Source organism: Homo sapiens, chromosome 22 (genome assembly GCF_000001405.40).
Source record: "Homo sapiens chromosome 22, GRCh38.p14 Primary Assembly".
NCBI classification, from domain to species: Eukaryota; Metazoa; Chordata; class Mammalia; order Primates; family Hominidae; genus Homo; species Homo sapiens.
Genome location: NC_000022.11, coordinates 20,682,504 through 20,707,454, shown reverse-complemented (window position 1 = coordinate 20,707,454; position 24,951 = coordinate 20,682,504). Strand labels below are relative to the sequence as shown.

Below are 24,951 nucleotides of genomic sequence, written 5' to 3'. Positions count from 1 at the left end.
GGCTGCCGTGGGGGCCTGTCTGTGGCTCTCCGCAGCATCTTCCCACTGCTCTAGTCTTTCCCTCTTGCTCATTTTGAAGTGCTGTGCTCTGGAACTCCAAAATCTTTGTGTGACTAGACCCAGCAAGCATCTACTCCCACCCACCGAGGCCCTGCATCTGAAGCAGATAGGAATAAAGACCTGAAACAAAAGAGAAACTCCAAAAGATCAGCTAAACAGCAGCAGGTAAGAAGAGAAAATCAGTGATCAGAATAGTGAAATGACCAAACATGCAGTGTGAAGGAAAGGAAAGCCAAGCGGGGTGGCTCCTAATCCCAGCACTTCAGCAGGCCAAAGCAGGAGGATTGCTTGAGTCCAGGAGTTCAACACCAGCATAAGCAACACGGGAAGACCCTGTCTCTACAAAAAAATTTAAAATTAGCCACATGGTGGTGCATGCCTGTAGTCCCAGCTACTCAGGAGGGTAAGAAAGATAGGATCACTGGAGCCGAAGAGCAAGACTCCAGTGAGCTATGATGGTACCGCTGCAGTCCAGCCTGGGTAACAGGGTCAAAAAAAAAAAAAAAAAAAGTTGAATGAAAAGCTCCAGTCAACTTTTTCTTTTTTTTTTAGACGGAGTCTCACTCTGTCGCCCAGGCTGGAGTGCAGTGGCGTGATCTCTGCTCACTGCAACCTCTCTCCCAGGTTCAAGCAATTCTCCTACCTCAGCCTCCTAAGTAGCTGGGATTTCAGCTGCACGCCACCACACCCAGCTAATTAATTTTTGTACTTTTAGAAGAGAAGGGGTTTCGTCATGTTGGCCAGGCTGATCTTGAACTCCTGGCTTCAGGTGATCTGCTCGCCTCGGCCTCCCAAAGTGCTGAGATTGGAGCCACCGTGCCCGGCCCCAATCAATTTCTAATGGGATTTCCAGAGTTGAAAAAGACAAATATTCAGCTTTAGGAAGCACAGTTGAGTCCTGAGCAGTACAAATAAAAATATAGGCTGGGCACAGTGGCTCACATGTGTAATCCCAGCACTTTCGGAGGCTGAGGTGGGTGGATTGCTGGAGTCCAGCAGTTTGAAAACAGCCTGAGCAACATGGCAAGACCCCATCTCTACAAAAAATACAACAATTATCCGGGCATGGTGGCACAAGCCCGTAGTCCCAGCTACTCAGGAAGCTGAGGTGGATCGCTTGAGCCCGGGAGGTGGAGGTTGCAGTGAGCCAAGATCACACCATTGCACTCCACACTGAATGACAGAGTGAGACTGTCTTAATAAAAAATATGAGTCAGCGTATAAGTTAAAAGGAGTTTTAAAAGATACTAATCCAAAAGAAGGCAGAAAAGGAGAAACATAATAGACTTACCAGCCCAATTTAAAAGTCAGGGATTATAAACATGAATTGAAGAAGTGAGACCCAGTTATGTGCTGATTATAACCAAAGCACTTTACATATGAAGACAGATCTAAGATGAAAATAACAGATGGAAAAAAGACGGGCCATCCATAATCAAAATGTGTATGGGTGTTTATGAAGGGGCATTTCACAATAAGCAATTGACGGCGCTACCAACAAGAAAGTAAACACAGGAGCCCTGAACAAGCCTGTCACTCACCTTGACCTGCTGGGTATTTAGAACACACTCTGTCGGCCTGACACGGTGGCTCATACCTGTAATCCCAGCACTTTGGGAGGCCAAGCCAGGCGGATCACAATGTCAAGAGATCAAGACCATCCTGGCCAACACAGTGAAACCCTGTCTCTGCTAAAAATACAAAAATTAGCTGGGCATGGTGGCATGCATCTGTAGTCCCAGCTACTCGGGAGGCTGAGGCAGGACAATCACTTGAACCCAGGAGGTGGAGGTTGGAGTGAGCCGAGATTGCACACCACTATACTCCAGCCTGGCGACAGAGCGAGACTCCGTCTCAAAAAAAAAATCACTCTGTCAACAGCAACAATACACTTTCTTCTCAATGTTCATTACAAGCTTTGTGCTGGGCCACAAAACAAGTCTCAGTAAATGAGATAGAATTAAAATCACGCAGAGTGTATTCTCTGTCCGCAGTGGAAATTAGGACTCGGTAAGATATCTGGAGAAAATGTTGGCCAGGCACGGTGGCTCATGCCTGTAATCCCAGCACTTTGGGGAGGCCAAGGTGGGCGGATCACGAGGTCAGGAGATCGAGACCATCCTGGCTAACACAGTGAAACTCTGTCTCTACTAAAAATACAAAAAATTAAACGGGCATGATGGCAGGCGCCTGAAGTCCCAGCTACTTGGGAGGCTGAGGCAGGAGAATCGCTGGAACCCGGGAGGCAGAGCTTGCAGTGAGCCGAGATCATGCCACTGCACTCCAGCCTGGGCGCAGAGCAAGACTCCATCTCAAAAGAAAAGAAAAAAAAAAAAAGTAGCACATGTGATCAGAGGGAAAAGACCTAAGATGCTTTAAGGCGGTTTAGGGGAAGATGACAGCAATGAGCTGAGCTCAAGTAGTAAGAATACCAGAATACAGAGTGTGACTTCCCAAATAATCAAACAGAAGGAAAGGGGAGCATTGAAAAATCAGGATCAACATGTTACAAATGGTAGAAATAAATTCAAATATAGTAGAAATAATTTCAAATCACAATACTTGAAAAAAGCAGCTTGTCAAATTGGCAAAGAAAAAAGTGTCAAATGCTATGTACAAGTTTCTGGCAATATGGCAAATTATGTATCCTGAAAAACTAAAAATGCTGTTTACAATACTGGGGAGTGGATCTAAATCCATGAGCTGTAAGAAAGGAAGGAATCTTTGGAGGCTGAAAAGCCAGTCAAGCTCCTACATGACATGGGAGACAGACGACGAACCCACGAGCTTCATCCCTTGAGGAGTTTATTAGGCGACCTTGGTCTACACTCTCAGGAGAGGAGTGCACCAGAAATAAAGCCGGTGCCCTGGAGTCCACCTGGAGCCAGGCGCGGGGCGCTGCACTTAGGTTGGCAGCAGCCCGTTAGCGCGCAGCTCCAGCAGCGGGGACAGCGTGTAGCGCAGGCGGCGCAGCGTCGTCTCCGAGGTGAGGCTCCAGAGCCACGCGGAGACGGCGCCGGGGTCCAACAGCACCGTCCAGAGCAGCGACAGCCCCAGGAAGAGGAGCGGCAGCGTCAGCAGCGCCTGCAGGGCGAAAGGCGGGCAGGTGGGCGGCGGCTCGGGCGGGCACGTGGGGGACCGCGGCCGCGCCCACCGCCCTGCTCACCTGATGGCCAGCGCGCGAGGACCGCCGAACAGCCGCGTCTCCTGCGGGGAGAGAGGGCCGCATCCAGCTACCTCCGCGCCCGCGGCGCCGGCCCGGTTTCCAGGAGGAGGGGGAGGCGGTACCGCGGGGGGGATGGGGAGGGGTGTCCCGCTCCAGCCCACCCCGCCCGGACCCGCGCAGGCGCTCACTCGGTCCGCCCTGGCCATCTCCTCCATGAGCGACTCGGTGCTGTACTGCACTCTGCGAAGCTGCCCGTCACACCTGCGGGGACAGGCATGCAGGTGGGAGCCCAGCCCGGCCCGGCCCCACAGTGCCCCGCCGCGCCCGCAAGCCCAACTCCCTTACAGTTCCCGGCCACTCTGCCAGGCGTCCAGCTCCTCCGCAGCCTCCATCACCTTCACCTGCACCTCCTGGAGCGGGTGAGAGTGCGGACTGAGGCCTCGGGGAGGCGTCCTGGCGGTGGGTTGGGAGACTTACCGCCCCAGGTCTGGGGGAGGAGAGGCGGGAGGCACCTTGGCGTCTGAGTGGGGCCGCACCTGCAGGACTACGGTCTGCTCCTGGAATATGGCCCAGGCCTCCGCTGTCTGCAGCGCGTCCTGGGTGTGGACACCCGGGTTAGACTCGGCGGGGGCGGGGCGACAGGCCCTTCCCCATCCACACTCGAAAGCCTACCCTCCTCCAACAGAACCCGCTTCTGCCCTCACCTGCTGCAGCTTCTCCTCCTGCAAGGCGCATTTGGTCTCCGCCAGCTCCAGTTCATTCTTGAGAAGGACCCAGGGAATGTCAGGAGGTCCGCAGGCCGGCAACCCGCTGCGCCTCCGGGCCCCGCCCCCGGCCCTCAGTGCCCGCCCCCAGGCGATCATGACCCCGCCCACGTCCTCAGGACCAGTCGTAAGCAACGCCCCAGCTGGTCATGGCCCCGCCCCCTCCGCGCTCCGCCCGTATCTAGCCCTCAGGGCCCCGCCCCCAGGCGATTATGCCCCGCCCACATCCCCGCCCCGCCCACGCCTTCAGGGCCTGCCTTAAGCCACACCCCCAGGTGGTCACGGCCCCGCTCACGCTGCTGCTCCGCCCCTACTAAAGACCTCAGGGTCCCGCTCAAGCACCTGCAGCGTCACCAATTGGGCTGCGAGTTGCTGCTCCGTGCTCTTCTGGCTCTGCAGTTCCCCTCCGTAGTAGAAGAGCTAGGGGCGGGGCTCGTAAGGACGGGGTTTACCGGGCTTCTGGAGGAACGAGTGTCAGGGGAGACAGGGACGGGGAGGCAATGAGAGCGAGGGCAAGGGCAGGACTTCCGAGAGGAACCAAGAGACAGGCCCTCCCATCTCCTGCACGTACCTGACTCGACAGCTCCTCCCACTGCCCTGCAGCTGCCTGCTGTGCTGCTCCTGCGGACAGGGTCCTGGGGCGGTGCCGGCCTCACCGCCGGTCCTACCTCACCCCACCCCCGGATCCTGCCCCCTTCCGCCCGCCCTGCCCCACCCCACCCTGGGTCCAGCCCCATTCCAGGACTCTTCCTCACCAAGTCCTCCTTGTGGCGCTCCGCCTCCTCCAGTCTTCTGCGCACCCGCTGCGCGCGCTCCCGCGCCGCCTCGCGCACCTCCCCTTGCAGAAGCAGCGCTTCCTGGCTTCGCCTCCGCAGCAGCCTGCAGAGGGAAACTGAGGTTGGCGCTACAAGGCGGACTGGGTCGCTCAGGATCCCGCAGTCGCCAGGAAGGACCAGCCGCAGGCTCATGATTGAGGACTGGGAAGTCCTGGCCGAGTCCCCCACCTGGGTCCGCTGGGTGGATCACCCGTTCCCAAGGGCCTAGAGCAGAGATGCGGGCCCGGGCGGATCAGCCTGGTACTCTGCGAAGCACCTCGCGGCGCTGCCTGCGGGACCGACCCTCGCGCGCCCGCCAGGTAGAGGGGCGTTCCCCGCGCACCTCCGCTCCCGCTCGCTCAGGTCCTGCAGGCGCTGGTTGAGGCAGGCTCTCGCTCTCGGCCTCGAGCCCGCGCATCAGCTTCTCTAGCTCCTGCTTCCGCTGGCGACCATCTCGGTTATCCTTCTGCAACTGCAGCAGCAGCTCCTGCGTCGCGGCCATGGCTGTGGAGACCGAGCCTAAATGCCGCCCGCCTCGGGGACCCAGCCTGCGGCTGGCAGGCGTCACAATGGGCGGCAGGGAGCGCCTAGCGGGCTGGATCACAATGGGCGGCAGGGGAAGCCCGAGGGTAGCCCGACACATGCCCCTTCTCACGCCGGCCGGAGGCGGGTCAGGCCGGATCACACTTAGTCCATCACTGATGAAAATTGTGTCAAAGAGCCGTAATTAGATCAATGAAAGGTTAATGAAATACTAATACCAAATGCAGGCAAGTTGAAGATTGGTTCCCCCACAGTGCAGATGGCACTTGCAAACTGATCGATCTCTTGTGGAAAAGAACCCATAAATATGTTCGTAACTTTTGACCCAATTATCCCTCTCCTGGGAAATTTATCCCAGGAAGGAGAAAAAATTTAAACCCACTACACACTAAATGGTTCGCTGAAGTGGTTACAGTAGCCACAAAAAAAGGAAACAATTTTAATGATTAAAATGTGCTTGGGTATTATGTGGTATGCCTAGAGCTATTATGATGTCTAGTGAAAAAGAATTTGATTTAGCATTTATGCTAAAGTAACTAAGATAAAATACATGAGCAAGATCCGTAAAGGAAACAGGAAGAAGATAAGCTCTTTCATTGCTTGGTGAGACTGTAGGTAAACTCGTCCTTTTAAGTATTATTATTTTAGAGGCAGGTCCTGCTGTCACCAGGCTGGAGTACAGTGGAACAATCGAAGCTAGCTGCAGCTTCAATCTCCCAGGCTCAAGTGATCCTTCCGCCTTAGCCTCCCAACTTGTCCTTTTAAAATCTGCCTTTATTTGTCCAGTTACAATTATGAACTTGGATGCAAAAATCCAAAATAAATTACTAACAAAATCTAAAGGGAAACAGAAATCCATGGAAACCAAACAGAGTTTATTCCAGGGATTGTTCAACATCAGAAAATCAGTGTTGTTCATCATATGGACAAACAGGGAAGAACTCCACGATCTCAGTGGCGCACTTCAATAGATGCAGAAAACGTGAAGATGAGGGTCACCATCTATTAATAATTTTTTTTTTTTTTCTGAGACAGAGTCTCACTCTGTTGCCCAGGCTGGAGTGCAGTGGCACAATCTTGGCTCACTGCAACCTCCGCCTACTGGGTTCAAGCAATTCTCTGCCCCAGCCTCCGGAGTAGCTGGCATTACAGGCACTCGCCACCACACCCAGCTAATTTTTTTGTATTTTTAGTAGAGACAGGGTTTCACCATCTTGGCCAAGCTGGTTTTGAACTCCTGACCTCGTGATCCACCCACCTCGGCCTCCCAAAGTGCTGGAATTACAGGCCTGAGCCACCTCACCTGACCATCTATTGATAATTCTAAAAGCTCTTTCTTACAAAAGGGAGAGATAAAAGCACTCTCTAGTCTGATAAAGGCCACGGTAAATATTATAGTAAGGAGGAAGTATTAATAGTATATGCTTTTTTTTCTTTTTCTTTTTTTAGAGTCAGGGTCCTGCTGTCACCCTGGCTGGAGTGCAGTGGTACGATCAAAGCCAACTGCAGCAGCCGCAAACTTCAGGGCTCAAGCGATCCTCCCGCCTCTCACCCTATAAGAAGTAGTAGACGGCCGGGCGCGCTTTTAGTCTGGGCGCGGTAGCTCACGCCTGTAATCCAGCACTTTGGGAGGCCGAGGTGGGTGGATCACGAGGTGAGGAGTTCAAGACCAGCTTGGCCAAGATGGTAAAATCCTGTCTCTACTAAAAATACCAAAAAAAAGTTAGCCGGGTATGGTGGTGCTTGCCTGTAGTCCCACCTACTTGGGAGGCTGAGGCAGGGGGAATCGCATGATCTTGGCTCACCACAACCTCCACCTCCCGGGTTCAAGTGATTCTCCTGTCTCAGCCTCATGAGCAGCTGGGATTACAAGCATGCGCCACCACGCCCAGCTAATTTTGTACTTTTAGTAGAGACGGGGTTTCTCCATGTTGGTCAGGCTGGTCTTGAACTCCCAACCTGAGGTGATCCACCTGCTTTGGCCTCCCAAAGTGCTGGGATTACAGGCGTGAGCCCCTGCGCCTGGCCCTACACCCGACTGATTTTTGTAGTTTTAGTAGAGACAGGGTTTCACCATGTTGTCCAGGCTGGTCTCAAATTCCTGGCCTCAAGTGATCTGCCTGCCCCGGCTTCCCAAAGTGCTGGGATTACAGGAGTGAGCCACCGTGCCCGGACTAAAAGGTACATTTTTAAAAAAGAGGTGACTTAAGATTTCATAGAAACCAACTTTTTGTAAAACTATGATAAGCCAAATACTTGGACCAGCCCTCACACTGAGAAGTACCAAAAATGCTGACAAAATAAAAGGATGTTTTCTTAAAGGCATCCAGGGGCTGACAAGACAGTGAGGAGCCGCCAGGCACCATCTGGGGAAACCAGAAACCAGAGAGGCGAGCCAAGCCGCTCTTGCCCTGAAAACATCTGCCCCCATCCAGCCACCCCGGGCTTCCGATGAGAACTCTAAGGCTGGTCCCCACCCCACAGAGCACCCCACAGAATTTGGGACTTATGGCCCAAATTCACACCAGTGAGAAGATTCCAAAACCTCACAGTTGATGGATTTAGTTTAAATTGGCTTTAGGCTGACAGCGCCCTGAGGTACCTGGCAGAAGGAAGCGTAAACCTAGTTTGGAGGAAGCATCTTTACCCTAGGTCTGAAAAATTCCCACAAAGTCATTTTTCCAGGACAATGAGTAATGCAGTCAAAAGTAACCACACATTCACGGAAACAATGCCCCATGAGCAAGGACAGAAAAGGCCAGCAGCAGGACCAGATCCAGAGACTCAACATCTCAAAGACCTGAGGCAGACCATGAGGCTCCTCCACTTACCTGTACTCACGGAGGGAACCGATGAGCTTGAAAGTATATGTGACGAACAGCAAACGAGAAAAAAAAATGACCTTGCAGAAAAACAGGTGTAGACATTCTAGAAATAAACAGCATTCAGCCCAATGGGTTTAACAGGAATAGGAGAATAAAAAGAGAATACCTACACTGAAGATACGTCAGAATAAATTATGCTGAATAAAGAAGAGTGAGAGGCCGGGCGCATTGGCTCATAGCCAGGGTCGAGGTCACTCTCTCCCTGAGGACTCTAGCACGGCACAGCCCCTCTGCCTCTCTCCTGGTGGTGGCGTTGAAACAGCACCTTCTGCTTTGGTCCTCTACAGGGTGGCAGAGAAGGAGGCAGTCAATAAGATGTCCCTGCACAACCTTGCCACTGTCTTTGGCCCCATGCTGCTCCGGCCCTCCGAGAAGGAGAGCAAGCTCCCTGCCAACCCCGGCCAGCCCATCACCATGACTGACAGCTGGTCCTTGGAGGTCATGTCCCAGGTGTGGGAAGACAGGCTCCAGCCCATGCAACCCCAGCCTGACAGAGGTGGCCTCTGCCTGCCCCACCCCCAGTCCTGCCCATCTTCCAACTTGCATTGTATGTGGTGGTGGCTGAGATTCAGAGACAGGGACTTGCCTAGGTTTGCATGGATGGGAGTGATAGGGGGAGCCTAGGCCACCTCCTGCTCCTGCTGGTGCACCTTGCTGGGGGCTTAAAACCACCCCAAGTGTTCAGGTGTGGTGGCTCATGCCTGTAATCCCAGCACTTTGGGAGGCCGAGGCAGGACAACTGAACCCAGGTGTTTGAGACCAGTCTGGGAAATGTAGCAAACCCCATCTCTAGAAAAAATACAAAGAAAAATTAGGCAGGCATTGTGGCACACATCTGTAATCCTAGGTATCTGGGAGGCTGACACAGGAGGATTGCTTGAGCCCAGGAGTTAGAGGCTGCAGTGATCCATGATGGAGCCACTGTACTCCAGCCTGGGGGACAGAGCAAGGCCCTGTGCATCTCTAAAATAAATAACCACCCCCCACCCAACAAGTCATGCCTTGTCAGGACCCCACCCCACCCCCGTCTCACTGTAAGGGGTTCATGACACCAGCAGGGGTTTCTAGCACCTGAGGTGGACTTGGGGACTTGGGCCCCAAAGACCTCCCCACCAGCAGCTGTGAGCCCCCCTCTGAGCCACTCTCCTCTTCCCCACTCCGCGAGGGCAGGTCGAGGTGCTGCTGTACTTCTTGCGGCTGGAGGCCGTCCCTGCCCCGGACAGCAAGGGACAGAGCATCCTGTTCTCCACCGATGTCTAAAGGTCCCAGTCCATCTCCTGGAGGCGGACAGATGGCCTGGAAACCTCTGGCTAATCAGGCTATCTGTAGAGTGGGAATCAAGATTTTCTGAGGCATCCTTGGGCCACCCCCAGGTGTCAGGCCATCTGCCAAGAGACAGCGGCCCAAAGCAGAAGGACAGGTGGCCTGGGCAGATCCCGCCCAGGTCTGAAAGCCCCAGGCTGGCCTCAGACTGTGGGTTTTCCATGCAGCCACCTGAGGGCGCCCCAAGCCAGTGCATCTCAGAGGCCAGGCCTGGCCCTGGGAGACAGAGTGAAACCAGTGGTTTTTATGAACTTAACTTAGAGTTTAAAAGATTTCTACTCGATCACTTGTCAAGATGCGCCCTCTCTGGGGAGAAGGGAACGTGACCGGATTCCCTCACTGTTGTATCTTGAATAAACGCTGCTGCTTCATCCTGTGGGGGCCGTGGCCCTGTCCCTGTGTGGGTGGGGCCTCTTCCATTTCCCTGACTTAGAAACCACAGTCCACTTAGAACAGGGTTTGAGAGGCTTAGTCAGCACTGGGTAGCGTTTTGACTCCATTCTCGGCTTGCTTCTTTTTCTTTCCAGGATTTTTGTGCAGAAATGGTTCTTTTGTTGCCGTGTTAGTCCTCCTTGGAAAGCAGCTCAGAAGGCCTGTGAAATGTCGGGGGACAGGACCTCCAGGGAGGGAATCCCAGGCTACGCACCTTAGGGTTCGTTCTCCAGGGAGAGCGACCTCGTCCCCCGATCCTGACCGCCCTTCCGGCCCACGCTCTCCTGTTTGGCTTCCACAGGCCTGGACTTCTCTGGCTTCTCTGCCCACACACTCCCTGCCCCCAGTGTCCCTGCCCCTGCCCCAGCACAGGTGACTTCATTTCTGTCCTCTCAGCTCAGTGGACTCGCTCAACTTTTGTATAAGTCTCCACTTGGTGGTAGCAGCTTGCTGATGACTTGTTTTAAAACTTTCATCCTAAATAACCTTTTGATACTTGAATATTTGTAAGTTTTATACATAGTTTCTAATTTTTTCCCCAACAGATCCAGATACCTAATAAGATGCTGGAATGTAATCCCTGGACAATCCGTGTCCTGGCAGCATTTGGTCTTCCTCTAAGCGCCTGGCTCCGCTGTTCTCAGGAGTGGGTTCTGAAGTCTCTGGAGAACAGGATACGTGGAGGGTTAGGAAGGGGCCAGGCCTAGAGACGGGAGACTCCCTCCCGGAGCAGGTGGAGGCACAGGACCATTCGCTACCCCATCTGCCGGCACCTGCGGGGGAGCCCAGGCATTGTTTGTAAACCCTCCTGACTACCTGACTCAAAGAAAACAGAAGCATGGAGGCCGCCAAGTATTTTCAAGAAATAATCCCATGAACGTGGCATCACTTTTTTAGAAAGAGGGGCTTGGGGCAGGCAGAGGAGAGAAGGGAGAGCAAACTGAGAGCCAAGTTTCCAGACGGTCCTGCAGGAGGAGAGGATGCAGCTGCGCAGAGGGAAGCAGGATCACATTTAAGGAAGTGTGTGGGGTCCCTGGATGACACCAGCACCCAGTACGGCTCTGTCTGGCAACCGCTCCCAAGGTGGCAGGAGTGGGTGTCCCCTGTGTGTCAGTGGGCAGCTCCTGCTGAGCCCGCAGCTTACTGGGGAGCCTGACAGCAGGGATATGTACCTGACACTCCTCTCTGCTTGTGGACCTGATGAGGCAGGGAGCAGAAAACAGAGCCACTTGAAGGCTTTCTGTCTGCGTCTTTGTGCAGTGTGGATTTAGTTGTGCTTTTTTCTTGCTGGGAGAGCACAGCCACCATTTACAAGCAGTGTCACCCTCATGGGTGGTGAGGACAGAACAGGAGCCTCTGCTCTCTGTACCTATCTGGGCCCAGTGGGCTCCCCTGTCCTGGCTTCCATCTCTGTCTCAGTGACCATTCAGCCCTGCGCAGGAACACATGTTGCTTAGAAAAGCCAAATCCAGCCCTTGTCTCTGCCTCCTCTGGTCTCATGATGTGCATCTGTTACCTTGAAACTGGAAACCAGTCTATCAATGTCTGTGCCAGTTTTTTATTCCCTCCCCAACCTCCTTCCCCATACGACTTTTTATTTATGTAGGATGTGTGCTGTCTAATGATGGGATGACCACACTTTTCCATGTTCTAAAAGTGCTTCTCTCCCGCAGGGTCCCAGGGCTGGTGGTTGCTTTGGGTCTACAGCTACGTCTTACCCGCCTCCTGCCTCAACAGCCTGTGTGGTGGCAAAGCCGGTGTGGGGCTGGGGAACGCAGCGTTCTCCAGGAGGGGGACCCGGCTCTCCTTCTGCAGTGCAGGCGAAGGCCTAGATGCCAGTGTGACCTCCCACAAGGCGTGGCTTCCAGACTCCCCGGCCGGAAGTGATGCTTTTTTGCCGCGGGCCCTGGGTTTGAAGCAGCCTGGCTTTCTCTTGGTAAGTGGCTGGTGTCTCAGCAGCTGCAATCTGAGCTCAGCCACCTACACACCACCGTGGCCAACACTTTCATTAAAAAGTTTCCTGAGACGACTTGCGTGCATGTTGACTTCATGATCAGCGCCGCTGGGAAGAACCCCTGAGCTTGTGGGGTGGGGCTGGAAGCAGCAGGTGCAGTGATGGGGCTGGGTGCCCAGGAGGCCTCAGTGCTCAATCAGGCCAAGGTGGCCAAGCCCAGGCTGCAGGGAAGGCCGGCCTGGGGGGTGCGGGTGAGCACAGGCAGGCACCAGCTGGGCAGTGTTAGGATGCTGGAGCAGCATCCGTAACTCCACTGAGTGGGGTAGTCTGGTTGGGGCAGGGACCGCTGTTGCTTTGGCAGAGAGAGATGATCCCCACTGGGGAGAGGCTGTTCTGACTCTGCAGGTGGGACAGGGACAGATGGCCACCAGGGTGACCCGGCTGGTCTTCCTTTGCTATGCTAAGCCCTGGGACATGGAGGATTCCTGCCACACAGCCTGGGCCCGGGTTCTTACCTGTGGCCACCGCTCTGGCACGAGCCCCTCAGTCTTGGGTGGTTTCTGCCTGGTCCGGGATTTGGTGTTGCTGCTGACTCCAGCCTTTCCACCACCTCTGCATGGGCCGTGGGTGTTGTCAGCTGCCTCCTGCCTTGGCTTCAGTAGCTCACCCAGCTTACAGGGGAGCTGCCCTGGGCTGGAGATGGGCACGCACCCTGGGTCCTACTTGAATGAATGCAGCTTGAGGAGACCCGGCCATATACACTGGGCCACAGGTTACCCTCGGCAATGCCCACATCAGCCGTCAGCCTGAGCCTCCCCAGGAGAGCAAGGCTCACACGACAAAGGCTGCCCGTGGCCAATGAGGTGGCTGAGCCCAGCCAGGACCTTTCTCGGACTCCCGGGATGTGGCTCTGCTCGTGAGCTGCCTGGTCAGCTCTCTCGGGGTGAGAGGGGCTTGTCACACGGGCCTCTGCCTGCAGTGTGACCCTTCTCAGCTTCTCTCAGCAGCCCTGCCTGCGGAGTGTCACCGCCACCATGATCATTTCCCTGACACAGCGAGGGTGGGGGGACGTCCTGGGTAGAGACAGGGCCCGTGGCAGCAGCAGGCTCAGGGGCGCCCTGCACTGGTGGGCTGGGGACCTGGTGGAGACCACGCCAAGGGCTGGACAAGGGGACGAGCCTCCACCCTGGCCTCTCCGCAGGCCTCAGCAGCCCCTCCCACAGGCAGAAGGGTTGACACTGGGTTCTGCCCTCACTGCAAGAGCTGCAAGTGCCACGTGCTGTTCTGCCCAATCTGGTGTCTGCAGGTGAGGGAAGGGCTGCCGCTGGCCCGTTTCTGAGTGTTCAGCACCTAAGGGTGACAGCACTGTCTGTCCCTACCCTCCAGGTCCTGTTTGAAGATCAAACCCATGCTCACAGGCCAATTTTTTTTTTCTTTTAGAGACAGGGTCTCACTTTGTCACCCAAGCTGGAGTGCAGTGGTGCGATTATAGCTCAATGCAGCCTCCAATTCCTGGACTCAAGGGACCCTCCTGCCTCAGCCTGCCAAGTAGCTTGGACTATAGCTGTGTGTTTTCTTATTATTTTGTAGACATGGGGTCTGGCTATGTTGTCCAGGCTATTCTCAAAATTCCCGGCCTCAAGCAATCCTCCTGCCTCGGCCTCTCAAAGGTTGGGATTACAAGTGTGAGGCAAGGCACCCAGCTCAGCCACAGAGCCCTGTTGCATCTCTCTTACTAGGAGCAAGAGCTGACTGCCCCCTCATCCCCATTCCAGAGTGTTGGGGCTGTGTTCAGCCGAGGCCGGGCCACTGGCATGGCCCAGGGAGCGGGATCCTTCACTGCTGCCCCAAATCTGAGATCATTCCACCTTGACAAGACTTCCTCATCCAATCCCTTTACTTGACAGCTGGGGAAACCAATGCGCACAGAGCACCCCCAGCTCACTCGGGGTCTCAGAGCTGATCCATGAGCAGAGGCTGAGATCCTGGGATCTTGTCCCCCAGCCTCCCTGCAAGCTTACTCCCTTTCTGCTGGAAGAGATGGGGCCGGACCTCGACCAGCAGCCCTGGCCTGGACATGACTGTGCTCATGCAGGTATTGAGGCCGAGATGCCCCGGCATCATATGTTTTTCTTTTCTTTTCTTTTCTTTTTTTGAGATGGTGTCTCACTCTGTCACCCAAGCTGGAGTGCAGTGGCATGATATTGGCTCACTGCAACCTCTGCCTCCCGGTTAAAGTGATTCTCCTGCCTCAGCCTTCCAAGTAGCTGGGCCTACAGGCTTGTACCACCATGCCTGACTAATTTTTGTGTTTTTACTAGAGACGGGGTTTCCCCATGTTGGCCAGGCTCGTGTCAAACTCCTGACCTCAGGTGATCCACCTGCCTTGGCCTCCCAAAGTGCTAGGATTACAGGCATGAGCCATGGCATCACTTAAATGTAGTGAGAGGCCGGGCTCGGTGGCTCATGCCTGTAATCCCAGTACTTTGAGAGGACGAAGCTGTCAGATCACCTAAGGTCAGGAGTTCGAGACCAGCCTGGCCAATATGGTGAAACTGTGTCTCTACAAAAAAATAGAAAAAAAAAATCCCTGCGTGGTGGTGAGTACCTGTAGTCCCAGTTACTCAGGAGTCTGAGGCATGAGAATCGCTTAAACCTTGGAGGCAGAGGCTGCAGTGAGCTGAGATGGCGCCACTGCACTCCAGCCTGGGTGACAGAGCAAGACTTTGTCTCTAAATAATTAAATAAATAAATATGGCCGAACATGGTGCCTTAGGCCTGTAATCCCAACACTTTGGGAGGCTGAGGCAGGTGGTTCATGAGGTCAGGAGCCTGAGACCAGCCTGGCCAAGACGGTGAAACACTGTCTCTACTAAAAATACAAAAATTAGCCAGCTGTGGTGGCAGGCACCTGTAATCCCAGCTACTTGGGACACTGAGGCAGGAGAATCGCTTGAAACTGGAAGTCAGAGGTTGCAGTGAGCCGAGATTGCACCACTGCACCCTAGCCTGGGCGATGGAGCAAGACTCCATCTCAAATAAATAAATTAATAAATACAGAGCAAGATTCCATCTTAAATAAATAAATAAACTTACACCTGTAATCCTAGCACTTCGGGAGGCTAAGACAGGTCAATCACCTGAGGTCAGGAGTTCGAGACCAGCCTGACCAATATGGCTAAACTCCATCTCTACTAAAAATACAAAAATTAGCCGGGCCTTTTGACGTGTGCCTGTAGTCTCAGCTACTTGGGAGGCTGAGACAGGAGAATTGCTTGAACCCAGGAGGTGGAGGTTGCAGTGAGCCGAGATCTCGGCTGCACTTCAGCCTGGGTGACAGAGTAAGACTGTCTCAAAAGGAATAAATAAAATACAAAATAAAAAAAATGTAGTAAGATTGCAGAGTCGTGCCGCGGAAGCGTGCTGGTCCTATCCATGTAGTGAAGGCTGATTTCATACAGAAATGTCACAAGAACTTTTTTTTTCTTTTTCTTTTTCTTTTTTTGAGACGGAGTCTCGCTCTGTCACCCAGGCTGGAGTGCAGTCGCGCGATCTCAGCTCACTGCAAGCTCTGCCTCCCGGGTTTATGCCGTTCTCCTGCCTCAGCCTCCCGAGTAGCTGGGACTACAGACCTGTGCAGCAGATGCTGGGGGATCCACTAGGCCCAGACAGTCTTAGGACTTGTGTCTCTCCTGCTGTGCATCCATACTGGGTGCTTTAGAAATGGCAGGCAGACCAGAAGCCCCTGTAGCAAGTGAGGACAAAGTGTGGGAAGGCCGTGAGGGTCTGCAGTCCGAGATGGCCTTGTCCTCAACCTGCAGTGCACTGTTGATGCGCTGGAATGCCGCCTCCTTCTCCCGGTCCAGGTCTTCAGCAGTGACCCAGTACCCCAGCTCTAAGGGAGGTGGCAGCATCAAAGGCTCCCCTCGCCTGCGTGGCAGCAGGGGAAACTTGTGTCTACGGGGCCTAGAGGACTGGGATCTGGGGGAGCCACCCCTGGGGCCGAGTGTCTGCCCTGGTGCTGTATCTGCCGTCTTTTCACACTGGGTGTGACCCGAAGAGACAGCCTCAGGTCCGTCCTCACTCACTGTGTTTGAGGAACTGAGGGTCAGCTGGCAGTGGGATGAGGCTGGCGCCTCTTCCGCTTTCGTCCCGGGAGGTCTCCCGTAGAGCTGCAGGAGCTCGAGATGGCATTTCGTTTGGGGCACGAGCTGGTCCGGGAGGTCTGGGATCTCTGGTTCTGACCTCTGGGCACCTGCTGCAGCTGTGGCTGAGGCCCAGAAATGTGAAGGGCCTCCATCCACTCCAATAGTGACCCCAATGTGCGGTTCAATGTGGAGGGGGGAGGGGCTGCTGCGGCAGCTGCAGGAGCAGAAGTGCCAGGCCTTGTTCTTCTCATGCCCGCATCCATGCTTGCAGCTGGGAAGGGGGCAGGAATCAGCGAGGTGACCTGGGCTGAGTCCTGGGAGTGGGAAGAGGTGGCAGGAAGGGGATCTGAGGAGGAGAACAGGGGGCCTGGTGGTCTGTGCTTCTCCCCAGACATGGGAGCTGTAGAGGGGACCTCTGTAGCAGATGCTAGGGGGGCCACTAGGCCCAGGCAGTCTTGGGACTTGTGTCTCTCCTGCTGTGCATCCATACTGGGTGCTTTAGAAACGGCAGGCAGACCAGAAGCCCCTGTTGCAAGTGAGGACAAAGTGTGGGAAGGCCGTGAGGGTCTGCAGTCTGAGATGGCCTTGTCCTCAACCTGCAGTGCACTCTTGATGCACTGGAATGCCGCCTCCTTCTCCCAGTCCAGGTCTTCAGCAGTGACCCGGTACCCCAGCTCTACGGGAGGTGGCAGCATCAAAGGCTCCCCTCGCCTGTGTGGCAGCAGGGGAAACTTGCGTGTACTGGGCCTAGAGGCCTCGGATCTGGAGGAGTCATTCCTGAGGGCGAGTGTCTGCCCTGGTGCTTTCTCTGCCACCTTTTCACACTGGGTGTGACCCGAAGAGACAGCCTGAGGCCTGTCCTCACTCACTGTCTTTGAGGAACTGAGGGTCAGCTGGCAGTGGGATGAGGCTGGCCCCCTCCTCCGCTTTAGCCCCGGCAAGCCTCCCGTGGAGCTGTAGGAGCTGGAGATGGCATTTCGGTTGGTGCACGAGCTCGTCCAGGAGGTCTGGGATGACTGGTCATATCTGATTTCTGACCTCTGGGCATGGAGGTCTGTCTGCAGAGGCCCGGGCCCGGGCACAAAGGGAGAGAGGCCTCCATTGTCCCGCAGGGGCCGAAATGCAGACGGTGCATCCCCGGTGACCTCGGGGACCCTTCTCTGATCACCAGGATTCTCTTGGACTCTAGGGTCCTTGTCCTGCTCAGGCATCCCTGCCCCGCTCTCCTTGAGGGCCCTCAACACTATCTTCCCTGGACACAAGTCTGGGGACAGCCGGCTGTTGTGGACCCCAAAGGGGTGACTCCCAGCTCCTGGGCCCCACAGAGAGTCCATGTTCTCAGTGCAGTGGCTGAGCTGGAGGACGCCCTGGAACTCGGAGCACACAGCACTGGCTTGCTGTGGTACCTGTGCAATCAAATTGAAGGCAGGATCCCAGAAAGGAAGGCAGGGCTTGCAGGATCACGGAAAACCTTCTTAGAGTTGTCTTGACACCACGGATGTCAAGTGTCCGGGTGCTTGTAGGATGGCCTGCCACTCAGTCCACGGGCAGGAGCAACGGGGAGATCCCACAGGCAAAGTGAACTGGGGGATGGGCTGAACGGGCTCCAGGCAACTGAGCCCTACTGGCAGGTCCTCGGCCTGGGCCCGAACAGGAAGGAGGGGCACAGAGTGCCCAGGTAACCGCTCCTGGGAGCAGTGGGGAACCGTCGGTTGCTTGAACTCTCGAGAGCTGGGCTCTGAGCGTCCTCGTCCAGCCGCCAACTCGGCCAACGGCTAAGCCAGCAGTTTCTTCTGTTGCCGGGCAACGCGCCTTTTAAACCTGAGGGAGCGGGCGCGTGAGCACATCACGGCGCCCGTGACAGAGCGAGCTTAACGGATTAATAAGCGCAGCCAGGTACCCGCGCGAGGCACTTGCTGGCAATGGCGGGAGGCGGACGTGGGGGGTCATGCAATAGGTACTGGAAGGAGAGAGGCGGGCACAAAGGTCGCGGGAGGAACAGGTGCCCACAATGGCGGCAGATCTGCCCGTGGATCACTGAAGATTCCTGCTCTCCTGCTGAGGTGGAGATTGCAGTGAGCTGAGATCGCACCATTGCACTCCAGCCTGGGCAACAAGTGCAAAACTCAGTCTTCAAATAAAAAAAAGAAAAAGAAAAACAAAAGGCCGGGCGTGGCGGCTTATGCCTATAATCCTAGCACTTTGGGAGGTCGGGGCGGACGGATCACGAGATCAGGAGTTGGAGACCAGCCTGGCCAACATAGTGAAACCCCCTTTCTAGTAAAAATACAAATTTAGTCAGACATGGTGGCACGCGCCTGTAGTCCCAGCTACTCCGGCGGCTGAGACTGGAGAATCACTTGAACCCGGGGGCTGGGAAGGGATTGCGATGCGCCGAGATCGCGCCACTGCACTCCAACCTGGGCAACAGAGTCAGAGTCTTTTTTTTTTTTCTTTTTTTTTTTTTGAGACGGAGTCTCCCTCTGTCGCCCAGGCTGGATTCCAGTGGCCTGATCTCTGGGCTCACCGCAAGCTCCGCCTACCGGGTTCACGCCATTCTCCTGCCTCAGCCTCGGGAGTAGCTCGGACTACAGGCGCCCGCCACCACACCCGGCTGCTTTTTTGTATTTTTAGTAGAGACGGGGTTTCACCGTGTTAGCCAGGATGGCCTCGACCTCCTGACCTCGTGATCCGCCCGCCTCGGCCTCCCAAAGTGCTGGGATTAAAGGCGTGAGCCACCGCGCCCGGCCGAGACTCTGTCTTAAAAAAAAAAAGGCCGGGGCTGTGGCACTTTGGGAGGCGGAGGCGGGTGGATCACGAGGTCAGGAGTTGGAGACCAGCCTGGCCAACATAGCGAAACCCCGTCTCTACTAAAACTACAAAAAATTAGCCGGGCGTGGTGGCGGGCGCCTGTAGTCCCAGCTACTCTGGAGGCTGAGGCAGGAGAATGGCGTGAACTCGGGAGGCGGAGCTTGCAGTCACCCGAGATCTCACCACTGCACTCCAGCCTGGGTGACAGTGCGAACCTCCGTCTCAAAAAAAAAAAAAAAAAAAGAGAGAGAGAGACACAGAGAAAAATGTTTATTGACTTAATGCACTTTTATGCCTGTGTTCTTCAATTTGCTTAGGAAAGACCTACACTTGAGAGCTGGGACTGTGGCCGATTGTGGACATGAAATATATGGTTTCTTGCAAAAACTAGACACTGAATAATTACGATTTAGTTGAGCTAGAAATCCATTTGGTTTCTTCCATATTTTTCCAAAATTTTCATCCTTTTTTTTTTAATTTTGAGACGGAGTTTCGCTGTTGTCTCCCAGGCTGGAGTGCAATGGCGCGATCTCAGCACCTGCTGGCAATGGCGGGAGGCTAGGGGACGCTGGCTTGATAGGTACTGGAAGGAGAGGCGCGCGCACAAAAGACTTGGGAAGACCTGGCGCGCACAATGGCTGCAGATCCGCCAGTGGATCACTGAAGATTCCTGCTCTCCTGCTGAGGCGGGGATTGCAGTGAACTGAGATCGCACCATTGCACTCTAGCCTGGGCAACAAGAGGGAAACTCCATCTCACACACACACACACCAAAAAAAAAAAAAAAAAAAAAAAAACACACAAAGAAAAGAAAAAGTAGTGGCCAGGCGTGGCGGCTCACACATCCCAGCACTTTGGGAGATTGGGGCGGGCGGATCACGAGATCAGGAGTTGGAGACCAGCCTGGCCAACATAGTGAAACCCTGTCTCTACTAAAATACAAAAATTAACCAGACATGGTGGCACGCGGCTGTAGTCCCAGCTACTGGTGTGGCTGAGGCAGGAGAATCACTTGAACCCGGGAGGCGGAGGTTGCGGTGTGCCGAGATCGCGCCACTGCACTCCAGCCTGGGCTACAAAGCGAGACTTCCTGTCAAAAATAAATAATTAATTTTTAAAAATTATGTAGAAGATAAAAACTTTATGTTCTTTTTAATGTTTGCTGTCCATAAAATCATCTGGGCCTGGTGCTTTTCTTTGGTTTTGTTTTTTTGTGAGATTTTTGAGGGGATGGGATACAGATTTTTTTTTTTTTTTGAGACGGAGTCTTGCTCTGTTGCCCAGGCTGGAGTGCAGTGGCACCACCTCGGCTCACTGCCACCTCCGCCTCCCGGGTTCACGCCGTTCTCCTGCCTCAGCCTCTGGAGTAGCTGGGACTACAGGCACCCGCCACCAGGGCCGGCTAATTTTTTGTATTTTTAGTAGAGATGGGGTTTCACCGTGTTAGCCAGGATGGTCTCGATCTCCTGACCTTGTGATCCGCCCACCTCGGCCTCCCAGAGTGCTGGGATTACAGGCGTGAGCCACCGCACCCGGCCGGGATACAGATTTTAAAATAAACATTCAATTCCTTTAATGGTTCTAGATCTAGACAAACTTTTCTGCTTCTCCCTACTTTGTTTTTATGAAGTTATATTTTTCTTTTGAGACAGAATTTCTCTGTTGCAGTCACGCGATCTCGGCTCACTGCAACCTCCGCCTCCCAGGTTCAAGTGATTCTCCCGCCTCAGCCTCCCAAGTAGCTGGGGTTACAAGCATGTTCTACCACACCCAGCTAATTTTTGTATTTTTAGTAGAGTTGGGGTTTTACTATGCTTGCCAGGCTGGTCTCGAACTCCTGAGGTCAGGTGATCTGCCAACCTCGGCCTCCCAAAGTGCTGGGATTACAAGCATTAGCCACCCCACCTGGCCTGAAGTTATATTTTTCTATAAAACTGCCTGTTTTGATATTTTAAAAAAATCACTGGCATAACTTGGTTTATGTAATGTCCTTATGAGTTTTGTCTTAATATTATTTATTTATTTTATATATTTATTTAGAGATTGAGTCTTGCTCTATTGCCCAGGCTGGAGTGCAGTGGCCTGATCTTGGCTCACTGCGACCTCCGCCTCTCAGGTTCAAGCAATTCTCGTGCCTCAGCCTCCTGAGTAGCTGGGATTATAGGCACCCACCACCACACCCAGCTAATTTTTGTGTGTGTTTGTGGTTGTTGTTGTTGTTTCTTTTTGTGAGACAAAGTTTCGCTGTTGTTGCCCAGGCTGGAGTACAATGGCGCAATCTCAGCTCAGCACAACCTCCACCTCCCGGGTTCAAGCAATTCTCCTGCCTCAGCCTCCTGAGTGGCTGGGATGACAGGCATGCGCCACTACACCAGGCTAATTTTATATTTTTAGTAGAGATGGGGTTTCTCCATGTTGGTCACGCTGTTCTTGAACTCCTGACCTCAGGTGATCCGCCCGCCTCAGCCTCCCAAAGTGCTGGGATTACAAGGGTGAGCCACCGCACCTGGCCATTTTCATATTTTTAGTAGAGACGGAGTTTCACCATGTTGGCAAGGCTGGTCTCAAACTCCTGACCTCAAGTGATCTGCCAGTCTCGGCCTCCCAAAGTGCCAGGATTACAGGCGAGAGCCACCGCACCCGGCCTAGCCACCACGCCCGGCCCATTTATTTCTAAGTAGAAAATACATTTGTATATTTCAAAATTCAGAAGGCATCATCTCAACCCTGTCCCTATTCCTGCAGTTTCTCAGATACAACCAAATAGATTCAATTTCTTGGTATCTTTCTAGAGATAGTTTATGAATATAAACAAATATCCAAATAAATAAATATGTTCTTTTGCTTTTTTTATACAAATATTACTTTATTGTACCTATTGATCTGTTCCTTTCTCTTTCTTTCTTTTTATTATTTTATTTTATTTTTTGAGACAAGGTCTTGCTCTGTGGCCTAAGCTGGAGTATAGTTGTGCAATCTGGGCTCACTGCAGCCTTGACCTCCGAGGCTCAAGCGATCCTCCCACCTCAGCCTCCCGAATAGCTGGGACTATAGGGCCATGCCACCAAGCCCGGCTAAACTTTTTGTATGTGTTGTAAAGGCAGAGTTTCACCGTGTTGTCCAGCCTGGTCTCAAACTCTTGGGCTCCCGCGATCTGCCCAGGTAGGCCTCCCAAAGTGCTGGGATTACAGGCATGAGCCACCATGCCCAGCCTCCAGCTCTTATAGTGGACCTGATATTATAATGCCCACTTCCTATGATGAAAAGGAACTGAATGAGTGTGGAATCTCTAGGACCACGCTGGCATATAATGGGCCCTTGGGGTTTAGTTTAGTAGCAAATTAAAAGGTGCCCATTCCTCAAAACCTTCTATAGACGTTTTTCACGAAACTGCCATGGATAAATATCTGCAAATCAAAGCAAAACTTTAGGGACAAACTACATCAGTCTTTGCCTGTGAATTTTGCATCTATGATGCAAATGACATCCCTCTAAGGTGTTACCCTTCTGCAGTGCACTACCTGTGCAACTGTCCTCAGCAAAGATAGAGTAATCTGCAGTAACTGAGTGGTGGCTGCCCCCTTTACAGAGGCATAAGTTCTCAACTTGCCACAGTCTGCACCATTCTGCTTTGTTACCACTTGTGTCTGCACTGAGTCCCCACGTCAGCCGTGTGCTAAGTCCTATGGAGCTGGCCTTCACGGTGCTCACACACCTGTACCCTCCTCTGTGCCCCACGGACCCTGCACTCATCTGGGCCTTCATGTGCTCTCACTCATTCCTGTCACACAAACCCCTACTAAGTACTGCACATTGAACTGGGCATGGTATCCAAGATGCCCAAGCAAGTCCCTGCCCTCCCCATGTTCATGTTCTGGTGACCTCAGGAAACTATTAAAATATAAGGAGGGGTGTACACTCTACTTTTGAGAATGCAAACGGGCACAGCCTTTTTGGAAGGCAATTTATCATCATGCACTGAGAGCCTCAAAACTGCCTGTGCCCTTTGATACAATCATTTGACTAATGTGCTCTAGAGAAATAACCAGAGATGCATAAAAGATTGATGCCTAAAGATGCTCATGGGGCTGGATGCAGTGGCTCACACCTGTAATCCCAGCCCTTTTGGAGGCCTAGGTGGCTGGATCCCTTGAGGTCAGGAGTTTGAGACCAGCCTGACGAACATGGTGAAACCCCAGCTGTACTAAAAATACAAAATTAGCCAGGCATGATGGCGCACACCTGTAATCCCCGCTACTCAGGAGGCTGAGGCAGGAGAATTACTTGAATCCTGGAGGTGGAGGCTGCAGTTCTCACCATTGCACTCTAGCCTGGGCAACAAGAGCAAAACTCTGTCTCAAAAAAAAAAAAAGATGCCCATGGAAATGCTGTTTATCATAATGAAAATTGGAAGTGTCCCCAATAACAGGGGATTGGCCAACTAAAATTTGGATATGTTAAATGTTAAAAGCAAATGTTAAAAGCCACATGCTCAAAGAACACTTAACCATTCATGAAAATACACATGATTAATGTTCAGTGAGAAAATTGGGAAGAAAAAAATCACATGGCAGCTGGGTGCAGTGGCACGTGCCTGTAGCCCCAGCCATTCAGAGGCTGAGGTAGGAGGATTGCTTGAGCTCAGGAGTTGGAGACCAGCTGGGGCAATACAATAAGACCCTGTCTTTAAAAATCAATCAATCAATCACATGGCTTGTCTGACAGTTCCTCAAAAGCTTAATCATAGAATTACCATATAACCCATTAATTCCATTCCTAGGTATATACTTGAAAGAAATGAAGACATATGTCCCCACAAGAACTCCAGACTGCTGGTTCCATGGGATCTCACCTGGGGCACCTGCCTGGGTTCTTCATTGGCTGAGAGAGGATAAGTGGAGGTCTGGGCATGATGCTCCCTATCCACTGAGGTTTCGATCTGCAGGCGCAGCACCTGCAAGGCTGCCCTCTGCCCCTCCCCTGACTGTCTGCAGGTGGACTGTGGTGCTGGAAGCTTCACTTGAGTGGCTGTGAGAGAGATTAGGATCCCTTTTCATTCAATTTTGCCACTTTTTTTTTGAGTCAGGGTCTCACTCTGTCACCCAGTTGCAGTGCAGTGGTGTGATCGTAGCTCACTGCAGTCTCAAATTCCTTGGCTCAAGTGGTTCTCCTGTCTAAGCTCCCCAAGCAGCTGGAAGTACAGGTACAGGTCACCATACCTGGCTAAAGTTTTTAGAGATGGGGGCTTGCTATGTTGCCCAGGCTGGTTGCAAACTTCTGACCTCAAGTGATCCTGTGCCATGGTCTCTCATGTCTTGGGTCAATTTTGATTTTTTTTTTTTTTTTTTTTTTTGAGACAGAGTCTCACTGTCGCCCAGGCTGGAGTGCAGTGGTGCTATCTTGGCTCTCTGCAACTTCCGGCTCCCAGATTCAGGCAATTCTTCTACCTCAGCCTCCTGAGTAGCCAGGATTACAGGTGTGTGCCACCACGCCCGGCTGATTTTTTTTTTTTTTTTGATATTTTTTTTTAGTAGAGATAGGGTTTCACCAGGTTGGCCAGGCTGGTCTCGAACTCCTGACCTCAGGTGATCCACCCACCTCGGCCTTCCAAGTGCTGGGATTACAGGCATGATCCATTGCGCCTGGTGAATTTTGATTTTTTAATGTAGAAAAAGTGCCAGGTGAGATGGCTCACACCTATAATCTTAGCATGTTGGGAGGCTGAGGTGGGAGGATCCCTTGAAGCCTACAGTTCAAGACCATCCTGGGCAACACAGCAAGATCCCCATCTCTACAAAAAGCTTTTTAAAAAATTAGCCAGGCATGTGGCACATACCCGTAGTTTCGGGTACTCAGAAGACTGAAGCAGGAGGATCACCTGATCCCAGGAGTTTGTGGCTTCAGTGAGCTATGATTGTGCCACTGCACTCCAACCTGGGGAACAGGGCCAGATTCTATCTCAAAAAAAAAGGGAAGGAAACAAAAAAATTGAGTTACAAATCAGTGCTGATTCTAACCCTGATTTTTTTCAACCCAGACTTGAGTGAAAG

General features: G+C 53.1%; 1 long non-coding RNA gene and 3 pseudogenes across 3 annotated transcripts, besides 6 other annotated features; 1 reads left to right on the top strand and 3 right to left on the bottom strand.

The window, feature by feature from the left end:
• Positions 2,852-6,341, bottom strand: TMEM191A (transmembrane protein 191A (pseudogene); annotated as a pseudogene). The gene is made up of 8 exons (NR_026815.1): positions 5,149-6,341; positions 4,746-4,869; positions 4,333-4,449; positions 3,931-3,987; positions 3,763-3,822; positions 3,415-3,487; positions 3,227-3,267; positions 2,852-3,144 (listed from the first exon to the last, which is right to left on the bottom strand). The product of NR_026815.1 is annotated as a transmembrane protein 191A (pseudogene) (transcript).
• Positions 3,656-4,228: an enhancer, noted in NCBI's record as "H3K27ac-H3K4me1 hESC enhancer chr22:21057515-21058087 (GRCh37/hg19 assembly coordinates)". NCBI's record gives its function as "activates a minimal SCP1, AML or CMV promoter by ChIP-STARR-seq in primed H9 embryonic stem cells {active_cell/tissue: H9 hESC(primed)}" and the evidence as "EXISTENCE:reporter gene assay evidence [ECO:0000049][PMID:30033119]".
• Positions 3,787-3,936: a silencer, noted in NCBI's record as "silent region_13498". NCBI's record gives its function as "represses an Ori minimal core promoter by ATAC-STARR-seq in GM12878 lymphoblastoid cells {active_cell/tissue: GM12878}" and the evidence as "EXISTENCE:reporter gene assay evidence [ECO:0000049][PMID:35858748]".
• Positions 4,327-4,436: an enhancer, noted in NCBI's record as "active region_18683". NCBI's record gives its function as "activates an Ori minimal core promoter by ATAC-STARR-seq in GM12878 lymphoblastoid cells {active_cell/tissue: GM12878}" and the evidence as "EXISTENCE:reporter gene assay evidence [ECO:0000049][PMID:35858748]".
• Positions 4,667-4,736: a silencer, noted in NCBI's record as "silent region_13497". NCBI's record gives its function as "represses an Ori minimal core promoter by ATAC-STARR-seq in GM12878 lymphoblastoid cells {active_cell/tissue: GM12878}" and the evidence as "EXISTENCE:reporter gene assay evidence [ECO:0000049][PMID:35858748]".
• BCRP5 (BCR pseudogene 5) lies at positions 8,496-12,017 on the top strand (annotated as a pseudogene).
• Positions 10,107-10,723: an enhancer, noted in NCBI's record as "H3K4me1 hESC enhancer chr22:21051020-21051636 (GRCh37/hg19 assembly coordinates)". NCBI's record gives its function as "activates a minimal SCP1, AML or CMV promoter by ChIP-STARR-seq in primed H9 embryonic stem cells {active_cell/tissue: H9 hESC(primed)}" and the evidence as "EXISTENCE:reporter gene assay evidence [ECO:0000049][PMID:30033119]".
• LOC107985584 (uncharacterized) lies at positions 10,526-11,919 on the bottom strand. Its single transcript, XR_007068010.1, has 2 exons — positions 11,707-11,919; positions 10,526-10,650 (listed from the first exon to the last, which is right to left on the bottom strand). It is a non-coding gene; the product is annotated as an uncharacterized LOC107985584 (long non-coding RNA).
• Positions 15,734-17,900, bottom strand: POM121L4P (POM121 transmembrane nucleoporin like 4, pseudogene; annotated as a pseudogene). Its single transcript, NR_024592.1, has one exon. The product of NR_024592.1 is annotated as a POM121 transmembrane nucleoporin like 4, pseudogene (transcript).
• Positions 20,293-20,513: a silencer, noted in NCBI's record as "fragment chr22:21041230-21041450 (GRCh37/hg19 assembly coordinates)". NCBI's record gives its function as "represses an EF-1alpha promoter that drives an FKBP-Casp9 reporter gene in an ReSE screen in K562 erythroleukemia cells {active_cell/tissue: K562}" and the evidence as "EXISTENCE:reporter gene assay evidence [ECO:0000049][PMID:32094911]".